At 43.4% G+C, this 23773-nt stretch overlaps 1 protein-coding gene and 1 long non-coding RNA gene across 18 annotated transcripts in view; one reads left to right on the forward strand and one right to left on the reverse strand.

Annotated features, from left to right (window-relative positions):
* The window catches only part of PALM2AKAP2 (PALM2 and AKAP2 fusion), a 531726-nt gene extending 524806 nt beyond the window's left edge, over positions 1 to 6920 (forward strand). For all 17 annotated transcript variants that reach the window (XM_047423410.1, XM_047423411.1, XM_047423414.1 and 14 more), the window contains one exon: positions 2807 to 6920. In XM_047423410.1, coding sequence (XP_047279366.1) covers positions 2807 to 2905 — 99 coding nt within the window. In that variant the 3' untranslated portion in view covers positions 2906 to 6920. The remainder of the gene's footprint in view (positions 1 to 2806) is intronic.
* A 1369-nt stretch (positions 6921 to 8289) lies between these two features.
* Positions 8290 to 13105, reverse strand: LOC105376217 (uncharacterized). The gene is made up of 4 exons (XR_007061726.1): positions 12942 to 13105; positions 10794 to 10865; positions 10074 to 10304; positions 8290 to 9619 (listed from the first exon to the last, which is right to left on the reverse strand). It is a non-coding gene; the product is annotated as an uncharacterized LOC105376217 (long non-coding RNA).
* Positions 13106 to 23773: the final 10668 nt, after the last annotated feature.

Genomic DNA, 23773 nt, shown 5'->3' on the forward strand with positions numbered 1-23773 from the left:
TACATACTAGGGGAATGAATTAAGAAAAGAGAGCTCATTGTTGGTATAAGTGAATTACTGGGGCTCTTGACAAGTAGATGTCCAAACCCAAGCTATACTAAACGTTTCCATAATTATGAGTATTATTTTTCTGCCCATTATACTTTTCGTCACTAAACTCCATGAGGGAAGGGACTATTCTATCCTCAACACGAAGCACTGTGCCTTATACTTGGTAGGAAACTAATAAATATGTGTAAATTGGATTGATAGATGGCTTGTAACAAGAGTTCCTAAAGAGCAGAGCAAACTCAATTTGCTCAAGTTGTTTGAGAATTAAAATAGGGTTTAAATAACAAGACAAAGAACATTCCAAGAGGATGGGGACCATAGTTTTTAGAACTTTAGATTTATTTTTAGCTTTGATGTAAACCTTTCTGTTTGTATCTGCAATCTGAAAGGCAAAGAGATGATCCTTTTATACAATGTAGAGTTCTTTATAAAACGCCCTATTTGTATGCCACTTCATAATTTATATATCCCTTTCACATGATGATAGAAATAATTATTCCATCATAGTTTGAGAGCTTACTATGTGCTGGGAACTATACTTTACATACATTGCCTCATTGATTTATCCGTCCAACTTTATGCTGTAGTTTTTATGATCCCCATTTTACATGGGGATACTGAAGCACAGGGGTAAGTGACTTTTCCAAGGTCATGAGGATTTGAAGTAGACCTGCCTGGACTTCTGAGTCCACAGTGCCTTCTGAGAAAGCCTGTGAAGTGGGGTAGCTGTGTTCTCCATGTTATAGATAAGAAATGTGAGATAAAAGATGAACAACAAAGGACAAAACTGGAAATAGAGCCCAAGACTTCCACGTGCAGTCCAGTGCTGTTTTTCAGTTCCATGCTACCACACATTAGACTATTAGAAAATTTCTCTATTTAACTATACAGATTTGGAAGCATGCTTTCCTCCTACTAATTTGTTATTCGTAGATATCTGTGGATATTGAGTGAGTGACCGTGATATGCTTACATACAAAACACATTATGCAAAACACACATGGCTTGTGTGCTTAACAATGCATCATTCATTCAGCAAACGTGACTGAGGAGGAAAAGGGGAGGCTTCACAGAGGAAGATATGTTGAAGCTCTGGGTGGTCCATTCCTTTGACAAAGGTGCAGAGAAGCAGGTTGAGATGGACCCCCGATCTCCCATCTACCCACAATCTGCTTATGTCTGGGCTCCCACCTCTGCCTGTAACTGCATCTCCTTGCTTCTCTGGAGTTGCCAACTGTATTAGTCCATTTTCATACTGCTATGAAGAAATAACCAAGACTGGGTAATTTATAAAGAAAAAGAGGTTTAATGGACTCACAGTTCCACATGGCTGGGGAGGCCTCACAATCATGGCAGAAGGTGAAGGAAGATCAAAGGCACGTCTTACATGGCAGCAGGCAAGACAGTGTGTGCAGGGGAACTGCCCTTTATAAAACCATCAGGTCTGGTGAGACTTATTCACTATCACGAGAACAGCATGGGAAAACTCGCTCCCACATTGAATTACCTCCTATGAGTCCCTCCTGCTACACAAGGGGATTATGGGAGCTACAATTCAAGATGAGATTTGGGTGGAGACACAGCCAATCCATATCACCAACATCACTGTCCCTTGCCTAACTGATTATATTTAGAATGAGCAGTGCCTTCATTGCAGTTTGCATAATCAACCAATGTTGGCTCTACTGGACTTTTCTTCAAAATCAGAAACTGTACATCCTAAGCAAATGCCAGAACAATTGGCAAGAATGCCTGGACTTGTTTTCTGCATGGTCATGAAATAGAACCATTTTTCATATGTTGGCAACCTAAATGCCATTAATCTGGAATCTCTTCTTGATCAAACTGAAACTGGACCAGATAGGCTGAAGTCTCCTCTCGGGATTCCACAGACTGCCCTAGTGAATGGGAGGAAGGGAGGCTCTCCCTCAGTGGTGGTGAGCCTACTTGTCCTTAGTGTTGTCACCTTTCATTTCATTGATTAGCATGTGGGGTCTGAAGTTGCATCAGAATGCTGAGATTGCTTCTATTGATCCAAGAACTTTTTTTTTTCATGTAATGGCTTTTTTAGTTTAATTTTGCCAAAGTAGGTTTTTATACTATAAATATCATCATGGCTTATATAGGTTTGCAAAGCTTGATGGACTGAATCCACACTGGTCCCATTGTTTGGAATTATTTTCTGGTTTGCTTGTTTATGAAGAGACTAAGACCATCTATAGTGTGCTGTCTAATATGGTAATCACTAGTCACATGGAGCTATTCAAATTAAAATTAATTAAAATGAAATAAAATTAAATATTTAGCTTCTCAGCCACACTAGCCCTATTTCAAGTGCTCAATAGCCACGTATGGCTAGTGGCTACCATACTGGATAGCAGAGATACGTTTTCATCATTGCATAAAGTTCAATTGGACAGCACTGATCTGCTGCGTGTAGGGATCTGCTTTATCTGAAAACTTGATGCAGAATCACGGCTAGTTCAAAGAAACTTGCAGAACATTTCATGAAAATTAAATTTCTCTATGGTGAAAACTAGGGGTCAAGTAGCAGATGAATACTGGCTGTGAGATGAATGCATAACCAGAACCTCCCATTCCCCTTTTTCCAGCGTCTCTCCTATCTCCCAGCAGTGCTTTATCACTTTCTCCTCTCAAGTTGATAAAGAGAAAGGAAGAAAGAAACAGAGAAGTCGGTTTATGTTCATAATTAACATCCATGAACTCTGCATAATTTTTTCCCCTCTCTTTACAGGTCCTCGAGGCCACACGGGTTAATCGAAGAAAGAGCGCACTGGCTTTGCGCTGGGAAGCAGGGATCTATGCCAACCAGGAGGAAGAAGACAACGAATAAACTTCCTTCAACCCAGGAAGCGTCTTTGGTGCTTGGGAGACCAAGAAACCAAGAAATTAACAACTGAAAGCATTTTAATGGACTATTTATTAAAGTGCAAACAAACTCAGCAATCCTTATGTAGACCAGAAGCTGCAATATACAATGATGAAAATGAAACGAAAAGGAAGTCCCCCCATCAGACTCTGGACACCCAGGAATCAAAAGAGAAAGGACTTTTTTGGTGACTCAATCCCAGTGTCTGGTTTGGGGCCAATCTACAATGGATCCAAAAGGACAAAACATGTTACAAGCAAATCAACATAGTTGCTGCAGGCGGAACTGAGACCAGCCTCTCTGGGCGATGAAGGACAATGGTGGTAGGGCCACTTAGAGAGCAGTAGGGCCCAGGCTGGTGCAGCCTACATGGCACAGGATATTTCCCTGCACCAGTTTCCCACCTGTCACTTGCAGCATCAGAGGGTGTTGCATTAACTCCATTTTCTCCAGCAGCCATAAAATGAATGGCGTTTCTCTCCATATTTGCCCAGAAGAGGCAGTTATGATTCCACTTCTCCTACATTTAATTATTTTTAATTGAGAACAACTCATGATCACAATTCATAAAATCCATATTTTAAGACAATAGTTCTTCATGTCACAAACACAATCTATTCTACATGAGGAGGCTGAGAAAGGGGAAGAGAAAAACAAACCAAATGGATGATGTTAGCTTTAGGATCGTGTCTGCTTATAATATTCACTGATCTGCAGTTTATGAGAACACATTTTCACAGTTATGTTTCTTCATAGGAAAACTATATTTAGTGGGCAACAACTATTTTTATGATGGGATGGGGGAGTATATACACGTATAGAATCTGTACGCGTTGAACAACTTGGTTCAAGATGGTGGGGGCATTTTTAGAGCGGCAATAATTGAAAAAAAAGGCGAACTCTGCCTTGGAGAGGTAGATGATAAGAAATAAAAAGGTGTTTATAACTATTTTGTATTATAAAGTGGGCCTTAGAGATAGGAAGAAGAATGATGGATTCCTTTTGGATCAATCAGAAAGGAAACACGAAAGAAAAGTCAGGAAGGTAGAGAGAGAAAAAGGGAGGGAAGGAGAAAGAATGGGAATAAAATAAGGAGGTAAGAGATACTATTTTTGCTGAGCAACCAGTGTGTTTCAGGATGATACAAAGAAAAATATAGAATAGAAATAAGTGCAGGCTTGGAATCAGCTACAAATCCTAAAGATGGGGTGTGTGTGGATGTGTGTGTGTGTGTGTGTACACCATTGTGTGTTTGTAAAATGTGTATGTTCATGAGTAAGGGTGTGTGTGTGTGTGTATTAAAATTCCAGAGTGACCGTGGCACTTGGGTGTACAGGTAATTCCTCCAGAGCTGTTTGCTGGCTTCAGGAGTGGAGTGAGAATTTCTTTTTTATGAAAAGGGATATAAAGGCACCGAGCTGATGCAGTATTTGTAATATTAAGTTGACCTAACAAGGTATTTGCATGAGTCACAATTACAAAGTTTTGAGCGGTTTTGTAATTTGACATTTAGGAGAGTCTCCTATTTATTCTCATACTTTACATTCATGCTTAGTATACTATAGAGGATGCCAGCTTTAATCTTTCTGTCATTTAAAGCAATATGATAAGGGTATTCAATAATTGGGTGCCCTAAATTTCTGGATGAGAAAATTTTCAATTCTGGCCATGAGAAAGAAAAAAAAATAAACAGCCTTCTTTTTTTTTCCTTTGTTTTAAAACTGTGGTTTTTTAAAAAAGCAATAATTAACTCAGACCTCACTAAAAATCATTTTTGTTTTTATATTGTTATGTCATAAGCTCTATTATGTTATTCTAACAAGTAGCAATTTCACAAAATTTGTATGTAGATGTTAACGCACATTTCCTTTGCTTCTTTTATTAGACTAGTGTTGACTTTGGGGGGGGACATTTATTCACAAATGAGAAGTAGGCACAAAGTAAAAAATGGAACCATCTACTAACAAGGATCCTTTAAAACTGCCAAGGGAGCTCTAACTTGAAGCCACATCCTACAGATGGCAGCCCAAATAGCACATGGGCAATTGGCACCATCTTTATATGGTTGAGTCTCCTGAATATTTTGAATGAATTCTCAACAAAATGTGCTAGCCACTGGGGACGCAAAACAAGTAAGATCCCTGTTGCAAGAAATTCATTTTATAGTGAGGGAGGTTGGCATGGAGACTAAAATTCTCAGGAAAATGAGATCCGTGTTAGATTAGAAGTCCTGATGTGAAATGGGAGGACTCAGGAAGGAGGATCGTCTTTACCTGAGGATTTCTAGCCAGAGGTCCCAGATGCCTGGGCTGAGAACCCAGCGATAAGGGGGCGTTCCCAAAGCAGACACAGGGATAAGAACAGAGGAGGCAGCAGCATTGCACAGCCCCAGGCACAGTGGCAGTTAGGATGGCTGGAGAGTAGGATAGTTCTATGGGTTGCCCAAAAAATGTGATGCGCTTCATGTTTTCTCTGACTCATGGATCTGGTAGAGACCATAGACATGATATAGACTAACTTCCCCATTTTTCACAAGAGGAAACCATCCTTATGACTTACCTTAAAGTTTTTTGTTCTGTTTTGAAGGAAACCATGTGCTTCATGAAACCTACAGTTGACAAGAGAATGTACAGCTAAGAGAAAAGCTTAAGAGGCCACACTATTCGCGGAATGGCTTTAGAGGCAGATGAAGTGGTCTTTGACCACAGTTGATTGAACCAGAGCACTTATTGCTTAAAGAATAACAGAGTTCTAGAGCTGGGGGTTCTTGGGCCATGCTCCGTGTGTGGATAAGGAAAGAAATACTGTTTCTGGGACTCTCCCACAGTCACAAAGCTGTTTTCACTGTGGCCCCTACATCTCTTAACTTTTGCTATTACTCCTATGCTGCCTTCCGGATTACTGCTGTCTATCTTCTTGCTCCACTCACTGAAGATCCTATTATAATCCCATGAAAATGTAAATTACAGTTTACTTGGGAGAGCCAGATTTTCTCTGTGCTCTTGAGTTTTTTATTCATTCAAGAAACCTTGGGCCACCGCTTTGTACATAGCACCGTGCTAGGCTCTGGGATCCCAAATGGACCCTTTTAACTTTCTGAAGATGGGACCGTCCCCTGGAGGAAAGTCATTCCTGCCTAATCCATCGAGAGAAAGAGGCTTACGAAAAACTTTGCCTCTGATGCTCAGCCCCACCCCCAAATAGCACACAAGCTTGTTAACCCCACCTCTTACAAAATGTTTAGATTCTGTAGGTGTTAAAAGCCTTTCTGGAAGTATTGCATTCTGCCGTGTTTATAGGTGTTCACTTTCCTCCAGAGCTGATTAACTACTGACATGACTTGGCTTTCTCATCCAGAAATTATGGAAACAGGGTCTGTCAGTGGCAGGAGGCCGTGCTGTGTTTTACTTGGATGACACAATGCAGTTTACTTGCCTCTTCATACCCATGCATGCTGCTCACCCTAGACAATGACATATAAGCCGTATATAGATCAATGTCCACATATATATACACACACACATATATATATATAAAGTGTAACAAGGAACACTAAAACAGTGTTGATTCTTGTCTCTGAAGACAAATAATTAAACCTTTTTTTTCCCAACTAAAGAATGGATTTAATTAAACTATGTATTGAAAAAAAAGTAGCCTAAGTGTTAGAGATGGTGAATATATTCCATTTTAGTTAAAGAACAAATTTCCTGAATTTTAAGCATTCAGTGAGCTGCCAATTTTGATTTTGTGTTGCTCTTTACCCAAATTATTTTTTCTTTGTTTTTCTTTTTTTGGGGGAGGAGGGGAAAAAAGCAGCAATACTGTGTTTGGAAATTATACTCTGTATCTGGTTTTCCTGTGTATGTTAACCACTTAAATGTTATTATCCTGCTTTGGTTTTAGAGTGATTGTGAGGCATTCAATGCAAGTATACAGTTATTTTCTCATTAAAATCCAATGTGTGTTGAGTTTTTATAAATAATGGCTGCTTGTTTGACCGTGAGGGAGGTTGGAAGACTGGGCCAAACAGTGGCACGCCAGCGTCCTACTTGGCCGCTACTGTGTGACAGCTTCTGGTTCCTCATGTTTGCAACAAAGGAATCAATCCGAGCTGAGGGGGCACTGCTGCACCAGGCTGTTCCCACAGCCCCCTTTTCAATGCTGTCCCCAGCCACCCTGGCTAGATGCCAGAAGCTGCAAGTGCCTCTTAAGGACATAGACTCGAAGCCACAGCAAGAGCTGGACAAACAGCAGGACGAACGGTAAACTCCAGCCTTGCCTGTAGCTTTTGGCTCTAACCTTTAGAATACATTATGAGCACCGGCCGGGCGCGGTCGCTCACGCCTGTAATCCCAGCACTTTGGGAGGCCGAGACGGGCGGATCACGAGGTCAGGAGATCGAGACCATCTTGGCTAACACGGTGAAACCCCGTCTCTACTAAAAATACAAAAAATTAGCCGGGTGCGGTGGCGGGCTCCTGTAGTCCCAGCTGCTCGAGAGGCTGAGGCAGGAGAATGGCGTGAACCCGGGAGGCGGAGCTTGCAGTGAGCCGAGATCGCACCACTGCACTCCAGCCTGGGGGACAGAGCCAGACTCCGTCTCAAAAAAAAAAAAAAAAAAAAAAAAAACCACATTCTAAGCACCTGTATTTGGCTCTCCTCTGCAAGGAATAGCTGATGGCTACATGTTGACATGAAGGACTCCTTTTGTTGTATTCAACATAAAGCCCCTTTCCCCAAACTCTTACTCTGGTTTCTTTATTTTCCTACTCTTCGACTACCCCCAACTCTTTTTCTTTTTCTTTTTCTTTTCTTTCTTTTTTTCTTTTTTCTTTTTTTTTCTTTTTTTTTTTTTTTTGCTAGAGCTTTATTGTGGTATAATTTACTTAACAAAATTTATTCATTTCAAGAGCATGCGAAGACCACAAGTTTCTCAGGAAGCGTCCTCCCTTCTACTTCCTCCCTCCCGCTTCAGTCTCCGGCTGCTCCATCCCATCACCGAGCCCTGGGCCCCTGACCCCTGACCATCAGTTTTCCTAGTCTTTCCCTCGGCCCCTCCTCTTCCTGGTACTTCCTTTCCAGCTGCCTTTTTCTCTCTCTCCGCATTTGTAACTCTTCCAGCCTTTTTCTCCCCAGGATTTCCAACCATATCTTCCTGTTCTGAGCATCTGGGGGTGTTCTGTGGCACCTGTCAGGGGTGATATCTTTCAACCTCTAAGTGGTGAGAGTTCTGAATTTGGAAGTGGGGGCACCCCTTTAAAAATTTGATCAAAGTCTAGTAACAGTGGATAACACTTGTGAATGTCACTGAGAATGTGACAGGCACTCCAGGCTCTCCATGACTATGATACATTTATATTTATATTTATATTGATTTCCATTTTACATAGTAGGAAACTGCAGCCCCGGGAGGTTAGTTTTTCAATGCATAGCTTGTAAATGGTAGTGCTTGCATTTGAACCCCGGCTCTTAACTGCTCTTCCCACAGAAGCACACATTGGCAGCTTCACATGCGTGTGAAGTCGAAATGGGCTTGCACCATCTCCCCGCACTGTACTGTCCAGGAAAGAGGCTCTCAGGGATCAAAGCCAAGGCTGTGATAGGAGCCCAAGTCTAGGGGAAGAGTGAGGTTTTGGTGGGAGCAACAAAGAACTTTCTTCCTTTGGATGAACTTTCTCTGGGCTCTTCTCTTCGAGATCATCTCTCCCAGGAGATGGTGACAGCAGATGGCCCAGGCATCGCAGCTGCCAAAAGAAAGGACCCAAAATTGACTGCAAATAGGGTGATAAAAATGTGATAAAATTAAACTGTGGTGATGGTTGCACAATTTTATTTTTATTTTATTTATTTATTTATTTATTATACTTTAAGTTTTAGGGTACATGTGCACAATGTGCAGGTTAGTTACATATGTTTACATGTGCCATGCTGGGGTGCTGCACCCATTAACTCGTCATTTAGCATTAGGTATATCTCCTAATGCTATCCCTCTCCCCTCCCCCCACCCCACAACAGTCCCCAGAGTGTGATGTTCCCCTTCCTGTGTCCATGTGTTCTCACTGTTCAATTCCCACCTATGAGTGAGAACATGCGGTGTTTGGTTTTTTGTCCTTGTGATAGTTTACTGAGAATGATGATTTCCAATTTCATCCATGTCCCTACAAAGGACATGAACTCATCATTTTTTCTGGCTGCATAGTATTCCATGGTGTATATGGGTTGCTCAATTTTAAATGTACTGAGAATCATACACTTGAAATGAGTAAACTTTGTTAAGTAAATTATACCACAATAAAGTTCCAGCAAAAAAAAAAAAAAAAAGAAAGAAAGAAAGAAAGAAAAGAAAAAGAGTTGGAGGTAGTAGAGGGAGTAGGAAAATAAAGAAACCAGAGTAAGAGTTTGGGGAAAGGGGCTTTATGTTGAATACAACAAAAGGAGTCCTTCATGTCAACATGTAGCCATCAGCTCTCTCACTAATGAGGAATAAAGCTTCCTCTCCAGGCTGCCTCCAGGAACCAGGGGCAGTGGTGCTGTGACCACGTATGGATTCAGTCCTGGTCCTGTTTCCATCCATCACTACTAACATCTGGAGGCCTCAGGCAGAGGTAGGGATGAGATTTGGCAGGCAGGCGTGCTGGGAAGGAAGGAACTCAGGCCATGTGTGAAAAAGCAAGTCTCCTGCAATGGTAGAGGAGGGTACAACACTCACAATGGAAGTTATTTTTTGGGATGCTCTAACCACAAAACTACCAATGTTAAAAGGCATTAACCCTTTACCCAGTAGAGGGCAGTTATGCAGGGTCTTTGCTCTGTGATGTGTATCTGTGGGAAGGGATGGGGGCCTGTGTCCATTACCCAGGCTCATCTCCCCTGTTTTGTATTTGTGACAGAGGCTGTCATTGTGAGACACACAAGGCCATGAGGTTACTTTGGAGCACTGCTCATTTTAGTTAGGGGATTCCTGGGCCATGAGAGGGCAGTGACTATACTCCTCCCTACACGGAACTCACACCAAATTCAGAATTGAGCTGCTAGGGACATAGAGAACAAATGGGAAATTGAAAAGGAGAATGCAAAAGATTTTAAATGTACAAGATGACACCAAGTGAAAAAATGGGGACTCAGGAAATACCTGGAGATGCCACATCGGCAATTTCTAAATGTTGCCCAAGCATTCACATGCTTTCTCTGGGAGAAAGAAGAGTATTTGCATGGTGCGCATTGTTTCATGTTGCGAAGACATGGTGATCTCAATGTCAGTTAACCTTGATGGGAGAGTTATCCAAACTCTGGATGGAGAGTTCTCTTTGTTCTAAGTTCAAAGTGGGTGGACTCTGGACAACTGGAATGAGTCTACTGCTACCTGAGACAAGTAAAAACACAAATCAGTTTGGTTTTTCTCTGTCTGCTCATGTATGGAACATTCAGTCTCTGCAGCGGTCTTCAGCTGGTTATATCAAAGAGCCTCTGGTGAGCCCTGGCTCTCAAATTGGAGTGAGTTCTGCATCACCTGGAGGGCTTGTTACAAATCTGGGCCCCATTTCTGATCTACTGAATCAGATCTACTGATTCTGGGTCCCATCCCAGAATTTCTGATCAGTAGATCTGGAGCGAAGCCCCAGAATTTTCTACCTAGCTCCCTGGAGATGCTGCTGCTGCTGGTCCAGGGACCTCCTTTGAGAACCATCGGTCTAGAGTATGAGAAATGAATATGTCTGGGCCTGCCACTTATGTTTGAAAATGGGGGAACTGATACATGACTGATAAGCTGCAAACACAGCCACGTGTGGTTCTGGGGTGTTGTGAATATTTGTTGGGGGCTTTTGTGTGTTTGTGCAGCCTACCGACTCACCATTTTGTGGGCCTTGGTGAAGCAGAACTTTGACTCCACTTAGATTCTCGAACGAGGCCCCTCCAACTGTGGCTAAACAGATTAAGAAGAAAGTGGGGGAAAGAGGAAAATATCTCTGTATGTTCAGACTTTAATTTCAGGGTAAGATCAAGGAATTCATTTGACCACTGGAAGAAGTTTTTATTATGTGGGCTGATGCACAATAACATAAGTTTGGACTTTTTTTTTTTTTTTTTTTTTTTTTTTTGAGACGGAGTCTCGCTCTGTCGCCCAGGCTGGAGTGCAGTGGCGGGATCTCGGCTCACTGCAAGCTCCGCCTCCCGGGTTCACGCCATTCTCCTGCCTCAGCCTCCCAAGTAGCTGGGACTACAGGCGCCCGCCACTACGCCCGGCTAATTTTTTGTATTTTTAGTAGAGACGGGGTTTCACCGTTTTAACCAGGATGGTCTCGATCTCCTGACCTCGTGATCCGCCCGCCTCGGCCTCCCAAAGTGCTGGGATTACAGGCGTGAGCCACCGCGCCCGGCCAAGTTTGGACTTAATAACATAAGGACCAATAACATAAGTTTGTTTGAGTGACATGGTTACATAATTTGAGATGAGAAGCAAAGTAAGAAGTTATTCTTATTTGGTCGAGGGCAGCACATCTCAATTCTGACTCCACATTAGAATCACCCAGAGAGTTTTAAAATTTGGATTCAGTTGACATGGGTTGGGGTCCAGGTATTAATATGCTCTAAGAGCATCCCAGGTGACCCATATGCAGCAAGCCTTGAGCAATACCACCCTGTGCAGTGGCTCTAACCTGTGCTTACATTAGGATCAGCTCAAGTGATTTTAAAAATACTAGTGCTGGCTGGGTGTGGTGGCTCATGCCTGTAATCCCAGTACTTTAGGAGACCAAGGCAGGCGGATAACTTGAGGCCAGGAGTTCAATAACAGCCTGGTCAACATGGTGAAACCCCATCTCTACTAAAAATACAAAAATTAGCCAGGTGTGGTGGCACATGCCTGTAATCCCACCTACTTGGGAGGCTGAGGCATGAGACTTGCCTGAACCCAGGAGGCGGAGGTTGCAGTGAGCCAAGATCATGCCACTGCCCTCCAGCCTGGGCAACAAAATGAGACTGTCTCAAAAATCAATAAACAGACAAACCAGTGCTTGGGCCTCAGCCCCAGATATTCTAATTTATTTAATCTAAATTGGTCTCAGACATGAGTGTGAACATGGGTATGGCGGCACACGCTTGTAATCCCAGCTACTCGTGAAGCTAAGGCAGGAGAATGGCTTGAACCCCGGAGGTGGAGTTTGCAGTGAGCCAAGCTCATGCCACTGCACTCCAGCCTGGGCGAGAGAGCGAGACTCTTGTCTCAAAAAAAAAAGAAGGAATATAACATGTGGTGAAATAATTGATCAGCATACATCAAATACATATAAAATACATTAAATGAATGTTAATAGGTGGTGCCATAAAACAAAATATTTAAATAGATAATACAGGTAAATATAAACAAACAAATGTATGCTTGTATTGCTCTGTCACCAGGCTGGAGTGCAATGGCACCGTCTCGGCTCATTGCAATCTCTGCTTCCCAGGTTCAAGTGATTCTCCTGCCTCAGCTTCCTGAGTAGCTGAGACTACAGACGTGTGCCACCACGCCCAGCTAATTTTTTAGTATTTTTAGTAGAGACGGGGTTTCACCATGTTGGCCAGGCTGGTCTTGAACTCCTGACCTTGTGATCCGCCCACCTCATCCTCCCAAAGTGCTGGGATTACAGGCATAAGCCACTGCGCCTGGCCGTTTCTTTCTTTCTTTTTTTTTTTTTTTAAGTCTCACCTGGAAGCAGGCAGCTAGTTCCTGCACAGAGGTCTCTGGACAGGACCCTCAAATAGACTTTACTTTTGCAAATGTCTGCCCATCCTCACCCGACCCTCCAAATTCAAAGGAAGGATATGAGCTTTCCCTGAGGTTCTGCAGGCCACAGGATGCATCCTTTGTTGCCCTATGATTGTTTGACTCATCTGTCACCTCCACACCTAAGAATGCTGGGCACTGGGAGGAATACAGCCAAGATTGGGTTTTTTTTTTCTGTGCCCTGCAGCCTCTGGTGTTTGCCAGTGGCTGACACACCACAGGTGGACCCACCTTATTCAGAGGCAACTCTTGGGATGGATGCTGGTTGGCATGGTAACACTGAAGGATTCTTTTTGGAATCCTGGGCACCACAGTCATATTGCTTGTTGCTACACCCTTTCTGACAGTTTGAGTTAAAGCAGAATCATAAAAGGGACAATGCTAGGAGAAGCAATAAAAGAAGAGCATCACATGCCACCGTTTCTAAGGGTCTCACTTCTGAACATTTTATTATCTCTGCAATTAGAATGTGTCTTACAATCCCTGCTGCGTGGGCACAGACATGAGTACCTGGCCTGACCTAAGCAAGGGAAAACTTGGGTGTGGCTATTTCTATTGGGGTCACCGTAATTGAGTTTTCAGCCTTGCTGGCCATGCATGTGTTGTTTACATACTAACCCATGCAATGGAAGGCAAGAGGAATGGACAAGCCTTAGAATAGATTTTAAACATTTCAAAGAATGAGAAGCTATTGTAAATAATTTGTTCATCATTTGGATCACTTTTAGGATGGCAAGCATGAGTTTGATGGAAGCTGCCTGCTTATTTAACTATGAGCTTAGTCCAGTGGGAAAGTGCCAGTCACCAAATTTACAGAATGGGTATGGCTGACTTGGAAGGAAATACCAGATTCAATAGTGGAGTACCCCCTTAAGAAATACTGTGCTGGCAAGGCACAGTGGCTCATGCCTGTAATCCTAACAACTTTGGCAAGCTGAGGCGGGAGGATTGCTTGAGGCTAGGAGTTTGAAACTAGCCTGGGCAACAGAGTGAGACTGCATCTCTACAAAAGCAAAAAATTAGCCGGGCATGGTGGCACACACCTGTAGTCCCACTTGGAGGCTGAGGCAGGAGGATCACTTGAACCCAGGAGGTTAAGGGTGCAATGAGCTACGATCATGCCACTGCACTCCACCCTGGACAACAGAGCGAAATCCTGTCTCAAAAAAAGAAAAGAAATACTGCACTGACACACATGGCCACAGAGGATGATCATGTGTATAAAAATGTGGAAAAAGAACTCAGGAGAGCTAGACTTTAACATAAAGATGTCTTAGGAATACCTTTAGACTTTAACACAAAGATGTCTTAGGAATACCTTGGCCAATTTATTTTGTTTGTTCTTCCCTTTTTTATGCATGCACAAGAGTGATGTATCATAAATATCTATATTTAAATAAGCCCAAAGGAGCTATTCAATGGGCACAAAATAAACATTCTCAGTGATCAGAGGGTATTGGGTTGTGGTCTAAATGGCAGTGCTTTTTCTTAATGGTTATATTTAGAAATTCAAATTCCAATTGATGGCGTATGAGATTTGATGAAATGTGGTAATAGGGCAGCTACAACCTATTACAACTATATGCTAAGTCATGTTATTCCTCCCTTTTCACTTTTAAGAAACTGAAGCACAAATAGTTGAAGTGATGACTCGCATAAAGTCATCCGTATCTAGGCAGTCTTACCAAAGTCAGAGTTCTTAACCACAGAACTGAAAAGAATTATCAGTGAGGCAAAGACATTTTAACTTTGTGTTGAAGCTCGAACAAGAGACTATAGTCACCTCTCCTCTGTATTGTGTTGAGAACAACACAATTTCTCTTTATACTGAGAATGTGGTTTGGGGAAGAGCTTGAGCTTATTACACCTGGAGCCTATCATCTCTCTAAAGGTAGTAAGGGGCCAGGTGCCATGGGTCACACCTGTAATCCAAACACTTTGGGAGGCCGAAGTGGGTGGATCACTTGAGGACAGGAGTTCAAGACCAGCCTAGCTGGGTATAGTAGTGGGGGCCTATAATCCCAGCTACTCAGGAGGCTGAGGCAGGAGAATCACTTGAAACAAGGAGGTGGAGTTTGCTGTGAGCTGAGATCATGCCATTGCACTCCAGCCTGGGTGACAGAATGAGACTGTCTCAAAAAAAAAAAAAAAAAGTAAGGGAGCTAGGATGCATAAGAAAACCCCTAGTGACAATTCTAAGTGTCTTTGTAGCATCTGCAATTGCTTAACACATTCTTCCTGCCCACTGCAGAGAAAAAACCATCTTGCTGAGACCATGGTATTGCAGTAAAGAGTGTAATTAATGCAAGGCTGGCCATGCAGCAGACAGAGTTATTACTCAAATCAGTCTCCCCAAAGGCTTGGGTTTTTCAAGGATAGTTTGGTGGGCAGGGGGCTAGGAAATGGGGAATGTTGACTGGTTGGGGATGAAATCATAGGGATGTGGAAAATGGTCCTTGTGCACTGAGTTCACCTCTGGCCAGGGGCCACAGTAACTGTTGAGTCACAAGTCACATGGATCCAGACAGAGTCAGTTGGTTGCCAGAAATGCAAAACTCTGAAAAACATCTCAAAGACCAATCTTAGGTTCTACAATAGTGATGTTACTTATGGGAGTGATCGGAGAAGTTACAGATCCTGTAGCCTCCAGAACAATGGCTGGTGTAAGTTAATGAATGTGCTTTGGTCAAGGATAGGCCAAGGTAGGATGTTTATATCCTGTATGACTCAGCGAGTTTGTAGTGCAGGTGTGTAACTCTGCTTGTTATAATGTAAACACAGCTATGTAGCCATAATATGGGAAGGCCATCACTTGGCTCTATGCCACTATTGTCTGTAAAAGGTATAACTGCCCTGCTGACACTGTACAGATGCTCACACCCTAAGAAAGAGAAAGAGTCAAAGCTGACTTTGCAGATAGACAGAGGGGAGCCAGGACACCGCTCAGCTTGCTCGTGCCCAGAGAGAGAAAGAGTTAAGCTGCTGACCCTGAAGGGCGAGCTGGCCATGCAGCCGTGCATGGGAGCTGCCAGAGCAAGCAGCCAAGACAGAGCAGACAGTGTAAGAGAGCTGCTGATGAGACAGTGTAAGAGAGCTGCTGTATTTCACCTACCTACGGCCCCCCAAATGTTCTTTCAGCTATCTGCCATTTATCCACCCACTCCCTTCGGACCTCAGCATGGGCTGGAACCGGACCCTGGACCTAGCCGCTGGTTACCATTTAACTACACCTATATCTTAGCAGAATTCAGGCCCCTCTTGTAATCCTAATCTTGTGGCCTTTCATTAGTTTTACAAAGGTGGTTTAGTTTAGGGAAGGGCTATTATCATCCTTGTTTTAAACTATAAAATAAATTCTTCCCATGGTTAGGTTGGCCTACACCCAGGAATGAGTGATAACAGCTAGCCTGTGAGGTTAGGGGCAAGATGGAGCCAGCCATGCTAGATTTCTCTCACTGTCATAATCTTTGCAAAGGTGTTTTCAAATCTCTATATCTTTTGACCCAAAACTGGTTAGGAACAACACAGAGCAGGTGTGTATGTGACCAGCTGGGTTCATTCTAATTTTTTTTTTTTTTTGCAAAGCTTTTTAGTAAAGGGTCAGATAGTGAATATTTTAGCCTTTGTGGGTCATAGAGCCACCCAGTTCTGCCACTGTCACCTGTAAGTGGCCATAAACAACATGGAAATGAACTAGTGTGGCTGCGTTCCAGTAAAACTGTATTTATGAACATAAAAATTTTCATTTTATATAATTTTCACATGTCACAAAATATTTTTCTTTGATCTCTGTCAACCATTAAAAAATGTAAAATCGGGCTGGGTGCGGTGGCTCACACCTGTAATCCCAGCACTTTGGGAGGCCGAGGCAGGCAGATCACCTGAGGTCAGGAATTCGAGACCAGCCTCACAACAAGGTGAAACCCCATTTATACTGAAAATACAAAAATTAGCCAGGCGTGTTGGAGGGCACCTGTAATCCCAGCTACTCAGGAGACTGAGGCAGGAGAATTGCTTGAACCTGGGAGGTGGAGGTTGCAGTGAGCCGAGATCAAACCACTGCACTCCAGCCTGGGCAACAGAATGAGACTCTGTCTCAGAAAAAAAAAAACAAAAACAAAACAACAACTACAACAAAAAGTAAAATCCCTTCAGGATGTACAAAAGCAAGTGGCAGGCCAGATTTGGATCCCAGACTTTAATTTGTCTGCCCCTGCTAGAGGGTTGATGTCTTTTCTCACAAGGGTTCAACCTTTGGGATCAGGCAGGGAACACAAATTAGGGGCCTGATGCGTTTTCTGTGGAATTGTTGACAGTTTGCTTATTTTAGATCAGATTTCTGACTTACAAAGTTGCCGTGAGAATTAAGCCATATGTCATATGCAAAGTGTTTGGTGAGAGGTTGATACAGATGTGCTTAGAGTTCATTCCTTCTAAATTCCTACATTTAGGAATACTTATTTGAGTGCCTACTATGTCAAGTTCTATGAATATAAAGAACAAATTAAAAAGGGGGGTTCTTAGGATGGTTTCAACTGGAATTGGGGAAGTACGTTAAGTTCTCTCTTAGCACTGGGAGTTTGGGAACATAGCTGCTCTGAGGTCAGGCAATGTTTTCACACCTGCGTTTCCTTAACTATTCAATAGACCATCCAGTGAGAACCTGTACTGTCTTAGCATGCTTTTAATTTTTCCACTCACTATTGGATTCATCTAATTGTGTATTCTTCTGGACATGAGAGAGACTGCTAGGTGATAAGATGTTTAGTAAAAACGAGAATTATTTCAGAACTCATTAGTAGAGGATCACAAGGTTCCAGGCGCTCTAAAGGAGAAATTTAGGAAGGAACTTCCCAAGATAAGCATGAAGGTGGCAGAAGTTCCTTCGTTGATAATGGAAAGGGTTAAAGATCAAATCAAAATTATTGACAGGCTCAGGGAAAAATGCTGGCTTGAACCCCAGGTGGCTACAATCCCTCTTTAATGAATTAAAATCTACAGGTACTTAAAGATAATGGAAAGGGTTCCTCACACTACTTTCAGTGTTTTCAGTTGACTCAAGATGTTCACCTTTACCTGCAAGTATAGAATGTGACCAGGAGGTGGCAGTGGTCCCTAAAGGAAAAGCAGCTTGTATAGCTAGGAGCCTTCCTCGGAGGCCAGGAGGACTTTTCTTACCCTTCACACTAACCAGGAATCCATGAGATGTACATATAGCTATTCCCAAAACACTACAATGAACACCCACATGTGTGCCGTCCTATCTGTAGATCAAATGTGGCACTTACACACATTTAAATAGAAAACTGACCTTGTCGCCAGATGGCAGAGGATACCTGCATGCTTCTGTCAGTCATGGCTCATCCTTCTCAAGGGCTAGCTCTGAACTAGGCACTGTGCTGAGCATCTGCTATGGATTATTCCATTAAATTTTTACCATGCTCCTTTGAGATACATACAGCTAGTTTCACCTCCATTTTACAAAGGAAGGAACTCACTCAGAGAGTTTGATTAACTTGCATGAAAGGAGAGATCCAAACCCAGGCAGTCGGAGCCAAAGCCTGTGTTCTTACCTCCCAAACTTTCCTTCTCATCAGCTTCATTCAATAGCAAACAAACTCCTAGTCTTGGTCCTGCGCCAGGTCTGCTTTTTCTCAGACCAGTGGCGCCTACCTTCAGCACAGACCAGTGCCAAGAAGGGAGATGGTACAACTGAGTTGGAAATTAGGCTGTGTACAATGAAGTGGCTCAGACATGGGGATAAGGGTGGGGTGCTGACAGTGTCTGATAAAAGCACCCATTGGGCCAGGCGCAGTGGCTCAGCCCTGTAATCCTATACTTTGGGAGGCCAAGGCGGGTGGATTGCCTGAGCTCAGGAGTTCGAGACGAGCCTGGGCAACAGTGACACACCCATCTCTACTAAAATACAAAAAAAAAAAAAAATTAGCTGGGCATGGTGGTGTGCACCTGTAGTCCCAGCTACTCGGGAGGCTGAGGCAGGAGAATGGCATGAACCCAGGAGGCGGAGCTTGCAATGAGCTGAGATTGCACCACTGCACTGCAGCCTGGGCGACAGAGCGAGACTCCATCTCAAAAAAAAAAAAAAAAAAAAAGCACCCACTGTCCCTAAGAGCCAACACATGCTAAAATTCTGGCTCTTGCCAGCTGCTGCCTGGAGAGCACATAAGCATGCGGCCTGCCTTCTAAGTTATCACAAATGTCTACTGAGTTATGCAAATATTCTGGCCTGCCATAAGAACAATCTCCAGCTCCCCATCCTGCAGTTGCAGTGTCTGTTTCCCGACCTCCTGCTGTTCACAAGTACACACACACACACACACACACACACACACACACACACATTTTACAGAATCACCCCAGTACTAAGGTGCCCATTTCTATATTGAGTAGAATACAGCCAATAAAGAGACCCAGTAAATAATTCAGTGGCTGAAAGAAGATAGAAGTTTCTCTCTCACGTTACAGCCCAAGGGGAGCATGTGAGGTCTGAAGGCAGATTTGTTCTAAGCAGTCATTTAGAGGCTCAAGCTCTTTCCACCCTGTTGCTCTGTTACCTCCACAACCTTGTTGTCATGGGCATGGTCCAGCCTTAGGAAACTGTAAGGTGCGGTAAAGCATTTACTGAAAATACAGGTGGTTCCATTCCCTGAACCAGTAGCTGTAGCTTCCTTGCCTTGATTGGGACAGACAGCTGACCAACTTCTGAAGATTAGGAAACAGCCATGCCAGGGTTCCTGCTGCTACTGTAGATGCTGGCAAAAGAACAACTCAAACTAAGCCCAAAGCATAAGCTGTTAGAAACTGATTAAGGGTGCACATCCTCCCTCATTATTCAGTCCGCACCTAGTTTATTCCTTCCCGTAGTTAAAACAGCAAAAGCTATGAGGAGAATAGCTCCAAGGACAGATGGGAGAAACACAGGGGAACTTTCCATTAATCCTGGAAAGGCCTCTGGGTTGCTCAGGAGATCCTCTATATGCACACGAGACAGCATTATCATCTGAATGCTCACAATCCACAAATCCTGCATCTCATGGGAGCAGTGTTCTTGCGCTTAAGAAGGCTCCATCACAGACACACAGAAATACTGTAAAAATAAAGTGACTATGTTCAGATGTCCCTTAGCCACGTTACCTATGTCTCACTCCAGGGCAGCTAAGGAGGGCTTTTCAGAGCCTCTCAGGGTCATGCGGGTGTTTGTACTTGTGGCAGTTTCTCTAATTCTGAGTTTGCAAGCCTTGCAGACTGACCTGAAGAAAATGGCTGTGGCTGTCGAACACGTTTGCCATGTGGTTTAGTCTGGGTTCATTTCAGCTGGTCTGGATTGATTGCGTGCTTATCTCCAGAGCTACCTGCTGCATGGTAGTGACCTTAGCTAAAACTATGGAATGCATTCACTAAAGAGAAATAATGTGTTTTAACCATGAGTTCCTGAGTAGTTTCCCGAAAGGATGTACCAGTCTACCTGCAATGTTTAGTAATCATAATAATTATTATATGCATCTGATGTTGGTGGAGCCTGGGTTGACCTTTAAGGCTGGCCATGTAGCTGGAATGGCCTAGGGGACCAGCTCACTAGAAGAGACCCTCCCTGCAAGTAGACCTGGGTTTCCAGTTCTCATATTCTCTGTGTGAACGCTGATGGTGTCTGAGACCTAGAAACCAAGCATGTCTTGTGTGACTCAGCAATGGGAAGACAAAGAAGCCTGTGCCTGAGAGCTGCAGATCCCTTTTGATACTCTTCTCTCTCCTGCGGTTGCAGTATTGTACCCTTTACCTGTAATAAAGCTGTCTGAGTATAAACTCAGCACCTTAAGTATAACACTTAAGGTAATTAATGTGTAATTAATGCACATATTCTTCTAGATACACCTGCATACTCATATAATGTCACCCAAACCATTAAGTGATTTACTTGGTCCTTGGCCATCAGTCTGGTACACTGGAAAGGTACAGGCTCATTATAAGGGTATGATGAGGGTTTTCTACCGTAACTCTCTGGACTCCATAAACATCCCCAAAGAGAATTCAGATTATCTTTTCTACCTGTGTTTGAGGTGCCACAGCACAAAGCTCACTCCAGGCAGACAGAGGAAAGTGAGCACTGGGCAGGTTGAGGCAAGTATGAATCATCCTCTGACATCAGACCCCTCCTTGGAAGCTTTATCATTGGTATGCTTAATCCAGTTCCATCTGAGCCTACATCAAAAGTGGAGAAGAATAAGTTTGGGGAGCAAAAATGTGGGAGTGAATTTGGTGCAAGGGGTTCACATTAAAGCATAGCATTCCAGAAGCCCATTTAAAATGGGTCCCGGGTTTCAAGAGAGTGAGCAGGGCAGGATATTCCCCAGGGAATCACCTGCATAGATGTGAGAGGTGATGCCATGGACCACCTCGCCAAGGAGGAATGCAGACAAAAAATGGGATGAGCACCTGGGACAGAGCCATGTGGATGAGACAGAAAGATTCAGGCAGAAAGGTCAGAGGGGAGCCAGAGGGCAATCATACATAACTTTACAAAAAGTAATAACTTGGCCAGGGGCGGTGGCTCACACCTGTAATCCCAGCACTTTAGGAGGCCGAGGTGGGTGGATCACCTGAGGTCAGGAGTTTGAGACCAGCCTGTCCAACATGGTGAAACATCTCTACTAAAAATACAAAAATTAGCTGGATGCATTGGTGGGCACCTGTAATCCCAGCTACTTGAGAGGCTGAGGCAGGAGAATTGCTTGAACTGAGGAGGCTGAGGTTGCAGTCAATGGAGATGATGCCATTGTACTCCAGCCTGGGCAACAGAGCAAGACTCTGTCTCAAAAAAAAACAAACAAAAGTAATAAATTATTAAGAGGAAATTCACATAACATTAACCATTGTAAAGCAGATAATTCAGTACATTCACAATGTTATACAACCACCACCTCTAGTTCCAAAACCTTTTTATTATCCCAAACGGAAATCCTGTGCTGTGTCCTGTAAATGGTCACTCCCCATTCCCCTCACTTCCAGCTTCTGGCAACCACTAAGCTGCTTTCTGTCTATGAATTTGCCTATTGTGCACATTGCACATAAATAGAATCATACAATATGTGCCCTTTTGTGAATGAGCTTCTTTCTCCTAGTATAATGCTTTCAAGGTTCAGCCGTGTTGTAACATGAATCAGTACTTCATTCCTTTTGATGGCTGAATAATAATCTATCATATGGATAGACCACATTTTGTTTCTCCATACTCTGTTGGTGGGCACTTGGGTTGTTTCCACTGTTTGGCTATTGTGAGCAGTGCTGAAAACATGGGTGTACATGTACTTATTTTAGTCCCTTTTTTCCATTCTTTTGGGTGTATACCTAGGAATGGAATTGTGAGGTCATATGGTAATTTTCTGTTTAACTTCATACATAACTTTCAAGCTCAGCCGCATCAGCGGTTGGCAATTAGAAGAAGGTTGTTGGAGAGAACTGTCAGTCAGCTGAGAGTCCTATCCCCATAAAGAGGGGGTAGTAGGGGATGCCTGCCTCATTTCAAGCTGTGGGAAAGAGGTTTTCAAAAGGGCCCCTCAAGCAGCTTTTATTTGTTCCTTGTAAACTGGAGAACATGACACACCTGAGAACTCCAAAGGGCTCCAGGTCATAGCTGACGGTGTCCCTAATGGCTGCATGAGGTTGGCCTCCTCTCCTGAGTTTGTGAGCACAAAGTATGTGTGTGACCCATGAAGCAGAGAGGGGCTTCGCATTTAAGACAGATGGTGTTAAGATTTTCTTAGATCCTGATTACAACCACTGCCTTGGAGGGGTGAGGTGTGGAGCAAGAGCAAAACCAAGCTGGTGGTTGACTCCTGCATGCCGAGGAGCTGCAGATGGATTCTAAGCAACCAGGAAAAGCAGAGATGCCTCCTCCCATGTCCAGGGAGGATCCCATCCATTAGAGGGTGAATTTCCAAAATGAGGAAAGAAAAAGTGTCAGCATTTAATTCCTTCCCCGTGCATCTCATGACAGTATTACTCAAGTAAGGTCTTACCCACCTCCCTCCCAGTTATTGTACACTCCCAACCCTGGAGAGGATGAAACTTCCCTAAGTAACTTGGGATGAGAGCTAGAAGCTCAAGTTTGGAGAGCAGTTAACCAAGCTTCCCGTCCTTCCTCACTGCAGACGTCCAGCCCAGAGCTCCTGAGAAAGAAGTTGGAGGGCTTTTTTGTTTTTAAACTTGTGCTGGGCAGGACTTACTAAGTTCTGAACTGAAACGAGTGGTTTTCATTCCTATGAGTGACACACCCAGCCATGAATTTCATCCAAGGCCTTGGAAGGTAAAAATGAAGTTGTTTATAATTAATTATCTCCTGTTATGGAGTAAATGTTTGCATACTCCAAAATTCATATGTTGAAATCCTGAACCCCAATCTGGTGATATTAGGAGATGGGGTATTTGGGAGGTGATTGGGTCATGAGGATGGAGACCTCATGAATGGTACTGGTGTTCTTATAAAAGAGACCTCAGGGAAAAAAAAGAAAATAAAAAAGCGACCCCAGAGAGATCTCTTGATCCTTCCACCATGTGAGGACACAGCCAGAAGATGGCCGTCTATGAACAGGAAGCAGGCCCCCATTAGATGCTGAGTTTACCAGTGCATTGATCTTACACTTCCCAGCCTCTAGAACTTTCAGAAACAGATTTCTGCTGTTTATAAGCCACCCAGTCTACGGTATTCAATTATGGCAGCCTGAACTGACTCAGACATATCCCAGAAGTTGCACCTGTTCCAAGTGGTTAAATTTTTGTTACTTAGCCTCCTTAAGAACAAAGCTCGTGACTTCCTCTGTATCTGTTGCTTCTGTACCAGAGTCTGGCATGTGGAGACACTGAGTACATGTTCTCTCTTTGTGCATAAACTCTGTTTACTTCCTCATCAAGCACTCCAGCTGGAACTCAGCAAGCAAACACAAGGCGTGCTTCACAGCCCTGGGCCTGGAGGCTAGTGCAGCAAAGGGTGAGACGTTCTGTGCCCTTCCTATGGGGATAGGTAGGGAGTGAAACTTTTACCCTGC

The sequence above is a fragment of the Homo sapiens genome, chromosome 9 (assembly GCF_000001405.40).
Source record: "Homo sapiens chromosome 9, GRCh38.p14 Primary Assembly".
Taxonomy (NCBI): domain Eukaryota; kingdom Metazoa; phylum Chordata; class Mammalia; order Primates; family Hominidae; genus Homo; species Homo sapiens.